This window comes from Homo sapiens, chromosome 2 (assembly GCF_000001405.40).
Source record: "Homo sapiens chromosome 2, GRCh38.p14 Primary Assembly".
Taxonomy (NCBI): domain Eukaryota; kingdom Metazoa; phylum Chordata; class Mammalia; order Primates; family Hominidae; genus Homo; species Homo sapiens.
In genome coordinates, this window is record NC_000002.12 from 41,567,817 (window position 1) to 41,579,800 (window position 11,984).

Sequence of the window (11,984 nt, forward strand, 5' to 3'; positions counted from 1 at the left end):
TTCTCTCATTTCCCATCTTCCTCACACCCTAGTAAATGAAATGTAAGCTCGCTGGAGACAAGTATTGTTGAGGCTTCTTATTTTTTTTAAACCTACCACAATGGCTGACAGCTAGGAGACTAAATACATACCAGCCAAATGAAGAAATGTTTACTTGCTGTACCCTAAATGAGAGGCACTATCTCAGTTCTTTTAGAAAGGAAAGAAATGGAGAGCAGCTGCCCCACATTCTCCCATTCCATCCATCCTTTTCTCTCTCAAAATCACATGTCCTGTAGAAGGACTGTGGTCTCCCTCACATTTATTCTCATTTCCCTCCATTGGGGTCTATTAGTTGGTCAAGGGGCACAGGTTTGTAGCATTCTTGCATCTAGTCTGCAGGTCATGTCTTAGAACCAAGGCAAGCCGAGGGGATGCAGGATATACTTTGGTTACCTAGTAGGCTTAGACATGACAAGGAAGGCAGAATGAAAACTGTTGACTTTTAGCTCATCACCATGGAGGCTTACCTACCACAAGGTCCATGAGAGTCTGGGGAAGCCATGGCTGGGGACCCAAGTCCTGGCTCTGACTATTTAACTTTTAACTCCTGACCTAAGATACTTGAAATCAATGAAGACAAGAGAAATAGCACTGAGATATAGAGATAATGTGAATGTAAAACAAAGAGATGTCCCCCCAAAAAGGAGAAAAGAGATGTTCATCAGGAATTGAGGATGTTTCATTACCTTTTTGAGCAAGCATCAAGCTGTTCCATCTGTGAGGCCAAAACTACCTCAATCATGTGTTCAAGGGTGCTAGAGCTACAAAAATATCAAAGAGAAAGTTTTAAAGGAAATTGGACAAAATTAGAAATCAATACCAGTACTAGTTTGCTGAGTGATCATGGAGTACTCTAATACCTTACTTAGCAGAATTCTACAAAAACTCAAAATGTGAATAATTCTTGGTCTCCAGATTTATGAACATTTGATCTTGAAGAATACACGAATATTTTCCCTCTACAGCTCATCATGTTAAAAATATGCTGTATTGACAGTTCCTGGTATAAAGGAAGGTTATTTCTGTTTTTGGTGTTGCTCCCTGACTTTAGGTAACAACTAAGAGTTACATCTAATGGCACATTCATTTAGAATTTCATGTGCATTTCACTGATGTCAGTAGATTGACATTAATTATACTGGAAAATAATATCTTATGTATCAGAAAAAAAATCAGTCATGTGGAACAGTGCACAGCCTCAAATTTTAGATATGAATTCTGAATCTTAATTCAGAAAGCCTGATACTCATATAACTCCAACTGTGTAAACTTTCTGACCTTCAGATGAAGCCTCACTAATGTTTTACACTTATTCGAGAAAGCACTGGAAAGAGAAACAGTGTAGACTTGCTTCCCCGAGGCCTTCATCATTCTCCAGAGTTTTATGGGAATATCTGTTTCAATTTCTGACCTACAGAGTCAAGTGCTATGGGTCATATTTTCTTTGTATTAGCGAAGATCTGGATTGATCATCTTTTTGTGTACAGTATGTATCCGCATGGTAGGGCATGTTTTTCCATTGTATAAAACTTCCTCCAACAAACACCTCTAGCAATATATATTTTTAATACCTAACCCAAACACAACTCACACAGATAATTTCTTGCATAGTCTAACAATCCATAAAGCTCAAAGTGTTCTAGAATTTTTCAGGACTATAGTCTGAAACTACAGTTCAACATGCACACATAAATGTACATACAGACACACACACACACATACACACAAACATATAAAACATTAACATTAAACACTCATTCAGCCACTCCACCAACGGATCCCGTGAGAAGCAAGAGAACCAGGATAGACACGATAGATCTGTGATTGTGAAGTGAGGAGCAAAGGAGATCAAGACAGAATATCGTAGAATGGAGGTGATTTGGGAGCCAAAGGGGCTATCCAGAGAAACTTCCAAGAAAAGGGGGATCAGGTTAAAAAAAAAAAACACATCCCAAAAGAAAGATCTTTGCCTGGGAAAAGCATGAGTGATTATGCAAGTTTTAAAGGGTGAATTAAAGGATCAGGCCTGAGTTTCCTGAAGCACCAATATATAAGGCAGAACCATGTTCTGCAAGAGCCTGGGCCTTGCCTGTTGGGAAGACAGGCACTCATACGGCCATAAAGCTAGTCAGACGCAGATGTTCATTAGCACAGCATAAGTGTCGACTATGGAGAAAGTGGTTAAAAAATTGTCATACTCCCAACAGACTGGGATGCTGTTATTGAACGAATAAAAACCTTCCTTATTACATAAGGGAAAGTATATATATTAATAATAAATGTACAAAAAAATCAAAATAGAAATCCAAATAGATAGAATATAGCTCTGCTAAAAACAAAACTATATATTAAAAAGAGGGCTGATAGATTGTGCCAAAATTTTAATTAAACTGTTGTGAAGGGTTGTGCTGAATGTTTTTCATTTGTTGTTTTATTGTTTCACTTTCTGCATATGTGCATTTTCCTAATTTTCAAACGCACATGAATTACTTTAGTAATGAAAAAAGTACAAATAAGCCTTGTTTATTTTCTGAGGTATGATACCCAGGATTACACTGTCATACAAGGAGCTCAGAAATGGGAATCAGAATACCTGAGTTTTAGTACAAATCTGTTGTTCTGCAACTGTGTGAATTTAGGCAAGTCACTGGACCTCTCTGACAATAATCATAATTTATTGAACGGTTGAATGTGTACTCTGTATCAGGCACTTCCCTAAATACTTTGCCCATGTTATCTCATCTACTACTCCCATTAATGAAATAGATAGGTCTTGCTCTACTACTGTGCAGATGAGAAACCTGAGTCTTAAAGAAATGAAATAATTGCCCAAGACTATACAGTTAGCAAGCAATTGAACTAGGAATAGAACTTAGGACTAGCTATATGCCTTCTCACCTTTTCATCTGTAAAATTAAGGATAAGGTGTGCTTCTTGAACTTTTCTACTCATAATATGAGTTCCCATGAAGCCAGGACTCTGTATTAGTTTTGTTCACTGATATATCCCAAGCACTTAGCCCAGTGCCTAGCACTGACTAGATACTCAGTAAATATTTGTTGAATTAAAGTACCTGCAGAAGAGACAGAACCCATGATTTCCAGAGTTCTGAAAGCAATTTTCAAAATTACCATCTGCAAGTGGAGATTTTTCAGAAGTCTCATATTTTAACATAGAACTTTATATGGTCTTTGTATTCTACTTTATAATATAATATGTGTTTTAACTTTGAAACTGTTTTTCAATAGTTTCCAACTATTCAACCTGTTAGTAACTTTAATCCGCTTTCCCTCCTTGAATACTCAAGCAAAATCGGTGTTCATGGAAGTTTTGACATATTTATCCTATGTCTCCTGGTACACCTGGCATACCTTGCATACTACCATGAGCACATGCACCCAGGCAAAGAAGCATGAATCTAAATGGTCTCTAATATTCTCACTGATTCTTAAAATGCTAATCTTTCAGGATGGAGCACAATCCACTAAATACAATTGAATAGTAAGACATAGAGTAGAACCTCGTTGTTCTGGACATATGATTTTACATCTTCAGTCTGAAATTGCTTTAGGGTTTCTGGCCCCTTAAATAAATTGGCTTGTTTTAAGCTTGCAATGAACTAAAAGCCCTAGATTTTTCTTTATACACTATTGTAAACCAAGTACTCCTCGTCTCAAAGCTGGCATATTTTTTTAACCTATATGCAAGAGCTTATATTTCTACCCTAATAAAACCAATCATTAATTTCAGTTAATCATTCCAGGCTGTTGAGAGCTTTACTGAACCCATCTGTGTCACCTACCACAGTAGCTATTTATCCCTGATGGAAAATTTACAGACTTGCCTTCCCTGTCTTCATCCATAGCGTTTATAAAAATAAACAGGACAGGACAGAGCTTTTGAGGATACTATTATAAACCTTCGTGTGGGCCACAGACACTCATAGCCAAGAGGGAAGACATGGCCCCACTAAAGTAACACATCAAAATCCATGCAAGGGTATGAGATATTTTCATATTTTTCAAAAGAAAATGAATTGGCTTTAAAGGACTAGACACACTTAATTTGAATGACAAGTAATCATTCATCAACATGCTAGATCCTGTTGAGCAATTACCTATAAATTTGCCTATCTGCAGCTTCATTCATTTAATCTACAAGATATAGAAAAAATGTTGATTACATGTGCTTCTAAAATCAAAGTTTCTGATAAACAACTCTAATAATGTGTTTTTCTTAAATGAGGCTATATTGACATTTTTTTGGTATGTGTGTACTCGTTGATTGCTTTCTTCCTAACATTTAAAAAATAGGCTTTTTTTCTGGAAATTAAAATTCACTTCGTGAATATAAAGGTTCTACAGTTTACATTTTCTCCATATCTGAAAATTAGGTTCACTTTTATTACTCTGTGGCAGGTGCAGTCAGAACCCCCACCCATATCACCTCAGCCTTCCCTGAAGGTCACTGCCTAGTCCCTGCACACGCTTCTGTCATATCTGCCAGAGGGCATTCTCTGACACAAGGGAGCCTGCTAGACACGTCAGCAGGCCAGGATTTTTCCCAGGGCATCCTAATGAGGAATTCAGTTTGGTCAATAGGCACCCCTGCTGACTCTCCCTCTGTGAGACAATTTTGAGACATATTCTATAGTCTCTCAGAAGGACCTTAGATGAAATGAGCCAAACTTCCAATAGGAATAATTCACTAATTGATGCAGCTTCATTTGCTTTCCTCCCTTCCAGGCTCATTTCTTCATTCCCACCTTGTGCTTTCTGGGATCACTTCCCAAAAACCTACTTGCACCCAAATTTTGATCTCTGAATCTGCTTTGGGAAGAATCAAAGCTGACCCAATCTACAATCTCCTGTACTGCTCCAATGTGTGATCTTTGTAAAACCACTAAAATTGTTTCCCAATCATATCAACTGTTGTTTCACTACCCATAGATGCAATCCACTTCCACTTGTGCTTACAGACTAGCCATTATTGACAATCTAGGTGTGGGTGCTTTCTTACCACTGCTCCATCTCTCTTGTGCCTTGATGTCCCTCAGTCATGTTTATTCTACCATTTACAGTATGAAAGCCATTCTTTTCATTGGAGAAAAGAAAACAAAACAGAAGCTAAGCATTACTGTCTTTTTTTCTCTCAAGACACTTCAAGGTCATATTCAAAGCCTTCAAAAGAAGAACTTGAGGTTAAAAAAAATGCTGTGCTAAGACTGGAAAATACCCACATAATTAGTTGAAAAGTTACATTAACCGTCTACACCATGATAGTTATCATCTATCTATAAGATATCAAGAGAGTAGGCAGAGGCGTTGAGAAGAATATGATGAGTCTGAGTAAAATAACTGGTCCTCCTGGGGAACCTGCCAGATTATCACATTATCTCAAAAATGACCACGTTGTGGTCAAGAACATCAGCTTTAGGAAATATAACACCAAAGGCTCCTTCTTTGAAGCTGCCACAATGTAGATCTATTCAAAATGTGCCTGGCAGTAAGCTTCATTAAGCCTTGGTAAGTAACAGAAACAGAGTTCTCACCACAGTGTTTGTGTGATAGCTCCAAAGGCAGATTTAAAGAGAAGTCAATGCTGAATTGTTTGCCTTTGCAAGAAGCCTTTTCAGCCTGAACACAAAAATGTTCACTATAAACTCATTGTACGTGATATTGTGCGCCCATTTATAACGACCTTTTTTAAAAAAATGTGCTGCTTAAATGACTCATTCTTTTTTACAGACTAGTATAACAATTACTTTTAGAAAACTCAACTATTAAAATACCTGAGTTTAAGAGAAGAAAATGTACTTCCTGTTATATTTTCTTTCATTAAAGTAAGCCAGCTGTACTGTTGCGTTTAAGTGTAATTGTTTAACAAATTTTTTTTTGAAAGAAAAACACTTCAGAAAACACAGTAAGAGGTCTTCAAGACCATGCTATGGAAAAAAAAATCTTGCTAATAATGTCCCATTTTCCTTCCTCCAACTGAGTAAGCCTGTGGTAATTATGACATGATAATCTACGGAGACAGAGACACGGTGGTTGCCCGATCCTTTACTAGCTTTGTGGCATTAAGAGAATCACTTAATCTTCCTGAGACCCAGTTTCCTCCTTTCCTAAATGGATTCTTTAAAGGTTAAAAGAGATGATATGTTTATAATGCCTGACATGTAGCTGGTCTTCAGAAGTAATTGATGGTAAGTAGAGTAAGAATTGCAATAGTGGCAGGTGCACCCAGAGACAACTCGGGATTCAGGCCACTGCTCTAGTGCTCTTGCAAGTTTTGTTCCCTGGTTCTCCCTCAGGTTTGGGAGATTTCTTATTAGCTTTCATTTCTTGGGTTCGTGTTGTGAGACATGATAGTGGTACCTCATAGTTCCCTCTTGCATTTGGAGGTTATAGATGGGGACTTTCATGGAATGGTCACGTTTAAAACCTATTTGCTCTCCAAAGCTTGTCCATGAGATGTTGTAGGCCTTTTCTCATCTTACTTGGCATGTACTTAACTGAAGATAGCAGCGGTGTTAAGTTGCTGGTTCAGTCATTTTGGGTTATGTTCTCTAGGTGATGCATTATGCATTTTTGCCTATCTTTAGTCCTCCATTCTCACCCTGGTAGTCTGCAAGCTCCATGATGACAGAAAGTGCTTCTGAGTTGTTCACCTCTGTACCTTAGCCTGGTAGCACTCAACAAAAATATGTTGAAGAAATAACTAAAGAAAGAATAAATGTAGTGGTTGTCACCTCCCACCTCAAAAGAAAGAAAAACCTTTCATTTCTAATTGTACCTTACACAACTGAAGTTTTCATACACACATAAGGACTCTGGGTCAAGGACAATACTAGCCTAATGCAGTTTGTGAGATTGCTGTCCTAATTACTCCAGCATACATACATGTAATTTATTATTCATGCAGATGTTTTGCTCCTTATAATATAGGACAAAAGAAAAAGAACACTGTCTATCCCAGAAAAGGCTACTCAGGGCATGAACTTGTCCACTAAATATTGTTTATGCTGACTTCAACTCTTGCTTTTTAAATTTTATTATTATTCAGAGTCTTATTAAAGTAGAATTTATTTTACATGTAAACTCTTGTGATGTGGTTATTTTCTAACAACATTAAATGCTGACAAATAAAAACCTGTCTTGTATGACATACACAATGTTTGAGAAACTGAGTAATGACAAAATATGTGACTATTCTAAAACAAGAACTTAATGGTTAGTAGACTGTTTTGCTTTCCAACCACATTACTGCATAGTAAAATGCATTGTCAAAAAGCATGTCTTTGAAAGGGCATTTCTTTTGTTGGTTTGCCTACTTTTACTGTAAGGCTAATTAGCCATGACAATTAACATAGATGTAGGTCCTAAAAGAAATAGGATTAACTGAAATGAAACCATCTCATCTCATCGTAATAAAGATGAAACATGAGACACAGCACAGGCAAAATGCTGTACTTCCTCAGGTTCACAGCCATCAAATATATCCTTTTGACACATGTCAGGGTGATAAACATTTTATGGGCTAGTAGATTTCTGTTTTTTATTTTGTAAGAAAGCTTGCACAATGGCATTTTAATGCAGAAAATCTAAATGTGTAAATTTTATACATTTCAAGGAAAACATTCAGGTGCTATAAAAGAATTCATAGACAAAAAAATCTCAGTACGCAAAATTCAAAATTTATAACAAGAAAATTAGCATGGAATCTTATTTCTGGACCACATGGATATTGCTGTACCACTCTGAAAGCAAACCAGAATTTCTCATTCATCGTCAAAAAACATAGATAGATCCTAAACATGTAACAGAAGCATTTCTACGCACTGGTTTCTATGGCCTAGTCTGTGTAGAAATCATCCACGAAATACATAAAGTACTACTTGAAAGAAGTGACAATTTGTCCTTCGGCACTTTGGATCTCTGCATTTCTTTAAAGGGCTTTCCTTTAGGGGGTTGTGTAATCGGTTTCTTCAGAATATGTATGTTTTGATTAATGAACACACTGGATTTTTGAAGGGAATAAACAGCAAAAGACAATGTTGCATTTGTTGCAAAAGTCATGATCGCACCCATGAGAATAAGTTTCTTCTTTTTAATCAAGAATTAGGATGAATTCACAATGACCTAAGGGCATCATGTCACATCTCATAGATTAGACTAGGCCCAAGAAAGATGTTAATGCTCAAGGCAGGACCATTTTATGAATTCTCAAACCATCTTGGTATTTCATGCTCATACAAATTTTTTTCCTTTCAGTTAAAGAAATCCATTTTTCCATGCTCTGTGGTATTTTTAGCTATATAAAAATGAGAAATTAATTTCTGCTGTTTGCCTCTAGAGCAAGATGAATGTTTTAAAAATTACATTTAACTTCCATGCATGCAAAACATTTTTTTCTGAAGAGAAAAGCATTGTTAATGATGCTATAACTACAATCTTCTCCTCACCTGAGAAGGTCATTTCAAGAAGGATCACTTGCTATTAAAAAAAAATGCTTAATGAAGGCAGAACAGTCTAAATTACCTCTTGAGCATACTACTCTAATGACTGATAAATCTAGGGAAATTTACTGAAAAAAAACTTCATTTCACGAGATTCCAATGATCAGTTTTACTGACTCATCAATGCCCTAATTATTCAATACACACACTCACTACTAACCCCCACTCCTACCCTATTTCTACTGGGAATAATCTCTATCATCAATCTGGTGAGTGGTTTCGTTATCTTAATGTATTTAAAAAGGAACATTTCCAGAAACCATTACATTTTAGATAAATTGCACTGGTTTCAAAAAGATAAGATAAAACTCTGAGAACATCAAAATTTAGGAAATGGGCATAAATACACACCACAAGTACACTGTTTTCAGTATCTACATTTTCAAAAAATTTTCATAAGACCCTGAAAGTCTGTGGGGTCCCATGTTTTATTTTACTGATTGGTTGAGATAGCCTGCGTCCATGAAGTGAAGAAAACTACGAAAATCATCAGCCTGCGTGCCAACAGACAGGGATTGCATTATTAACCACATTTATGACTGGCACCAATATTTAACCCCTTTGCTATTCAAGTGTCATCATGGTAAAATGAAACAGTTGAACTAAATTATTTCTAATGTCATTCTCTGTAGTACTTAAAACTAATAGCTATTAGAAGGATTCTTATCAAAAATTTCTTAATGTGACAACTAATTTTTCTATGAATATTTTTCAAGATAAAGCAAGAGGATAGTCACATATTTGCATATATATTAAAGAAAACTTCAGAAGTCTGAATTAATGAACAGTCCATGGGAGGAAGTATTGTGTATGTATGGAAAAAGGGAAGTGTGTATTCTCTTTATTTTTATCTTCTGAATGTAAGAATGTTTATAACATGAGCATATGAACGTGGCAATGAAAAAAGTTAAACTAACTTCTAGTTTTTAGCTCTGTGTGTAAGGAGCTTGGAGGTCACCACTCTTGTCTGGACAACAAATAAAAATGTGGAGTACAAAATCAACAACTCTTCTTGGATGCAAAAGAGAGATGAGGACACAGGGCAAACTGTTGTCCCCAAAATTAGAGAGACAAACAAGTGAATAACAGGGAGTTGTAGCTTACCAGAGTAGACTCACAAGCAGAAACCACTCTGGGAACCACAAAATATAGTTCTGTTTCCACGCTTTTCCTGGCTTTTGACTCTCTAATATTCAATTTACTGTGTACCACTGTGTTAATCATTTTGGCCCATAGCCAAACACTGCTTCCATTATGGGGGAAAGATTAATAATAAACATCCACAAGTGTAGTAGCCTACATTTAAAAGAAAAAATTGTTTCTATACATTTTATTTTCAATAACTTCATTTTATACAGGTAGCCATAAACTCTACTCAAGGCTGGTCCCAAGCCAGCAAGTTTTAGGAGGAACCTTACCTATGTTGTTGCAATGTTAACACACACGCACACACACACCTCATCATAACCACTACAACTGGGCCAAGTGCACAATTTGGAACATAAAATACCAAATTCTGTTACTTACAAGAAAGCTAAAAAACAGATTGGAGAGAAATTCATTTAAAAGAATAAACCACAATAAACAAACATCATCAAATGTTTTATTTGTTTGTTTTTGAGACGGAGTCTCGCTCTGTCGCCCAGGCTGGAGTGCAGTGGCAGGATCCAGCTCACTGCAAGCTCCGCCTCCCGGGTTCACGCCATTCTCCTGCCTCAGCCTCCCGAGTAGCTGAGACTACAGGCGCCCGCCACCGTGCCCGGCTAATTTTTTGTATTTTTAGTATTAACGGGGTTTCACTGTGTTAGCCAGGATGGTTTCGATCTCCTGACCTCGTGATCTGCCCGCCTCAGCCTCCCAAAGTGCTGGAATTACAGGCGTGAGCCACTGAACCCGGCCCCAGCTGTGAAATTTTAAGTTTACTACTTCTCTAAACCTCCATTATTTAATCAGCAAGATATACTAGTATGATCCCATCTTTCAGAGTATTGTATTGACTATAAGTAATATATGGGGAAGAGCTAGAACATAATAGTTTTTTAAATAAATGCTTTGCATGAAAATGTGTAGCTCTTAAACTGAGAAGCAGTTTCTGGACATATTTTAATTACATAATACTTAATGTCATTCAAATCTGTTATATAAGTGCTTTGGCTCAGTAGGTCTTATAAAATAGCTAAATGAAACATCATCATCTTTGCCCTTCTTTTTGATTTTCAATTATTTACCCTTTTCATTTTGGCTACCAGTGGCTAAGTTTTTATTAGCCTCTAAAATCATCTGAGGAAACAACAAGAGGATTTTTTTGTACATACTTCAAAATGTAATCGAGATTCTGATAATCTGCTCTGCTGAGAATCCCAAGACAACATAAGAAAAAAGGTGATGAATAAGGCATTGTTTCCCTGTTTGATCACATTTTCAACAAAACAGCAAATTTCAACATTGCTTAGCAGCTTAAAATTTTTAACAGTTTATATTTGTAATAGAAACAGGGAACTATTTCCAGAGACCTCTTTTTTCCTCGTTGAAACAAAGTCTGCATTTCTAGCCAGCTACATGGAAATCACATTTGGCCAGGCAGCAGTCAAGGAGGTATTAAATAATAAGCCTGGTTACAACAAAAGCTTTCAAGGGGTAGTCACTATCTGATTGCAATAGAATTGTTGATTTAGGAATTCGAACAGATTTTGATGACCCTGTAGTCTAGCCACTTTTTCCATGGAGAAATTTCTCCTGTAACGTACCCAAAGAGTCCCAATGAAGGAACCAATTAACTTCCTTCCAGGCAACCCATTCTATCTTGTTATGGCTTTGCAGCTCAGGTGAAGCTCAGGAAAACCAGTCACTAAAAATTTTATAACAATAGAGTGACTTCACAAAATCTAGATATGCAGCTACTTAAAGACACAAGTGTAAGAAGTGGATTTCTAGAACTGTACTGTGTCTCAGTTAAGGTGCCTATTGCTGAAGCCTATGTTAGCGGTGATTCTACCACAACTACATAGTGAATCCTCCGAAGATGCTCATTCTTAGCAGACAAGCATGCCAAGTGCTGAGAATGACTAGGATTTCCATTGGCTTTAGGGGCTCCAAGAGATGGTTCAGCCTGCTATTTGAGCCTGGATTTCAATGAAAAAGAGAGATTCCTGCTCTTCTTTCTTTTACTTTGTCTAGCTTAGCCAATACCTAATTACCCAGTTGGGACATGAAGTTTGTGGAGCCCAGTCCTACACCAAGAGGTATGTGAGAGGTGAAGCAAGGCAGACCTCTCCCTAGGTCTCCAATTCTGTAAAGGGAAGAACCATTTAGGTGTCGTCTTCATCCCCAACAAAGAAAAAACTGGAAAATGTACCATGACACAGATTTTCCTGCCTGTTGGCTTAAGAATTGGAAGATTGGTGACTTTGTTATTGTCTAGTGT

General features: G+C 37.0%; 1 long non-coding RNA gene across 1 annotated transcript in view; it reads right to left on the reverse strand.

Moving 5' to 3' along the window:
- The window catches only part of LOC105374506 (uncharacterized), a 165,476-nt gene extending 155,288 nt beyond the window's left edge, over positions 1–10,188 (reverse strand). Inside the window, exon 1 of the long non-coding RNA XR_939997.3 lies at positions 729–10,188. This is a non-coding gene — a long non-coding RNA (uncharacterized LOC105374506). The remainder of the gene's footprint in view (positions 1–728) is intronic.
- Between the last annotated feature and the right edge of the window lie 1,796 nt (positions 10,189–11,984).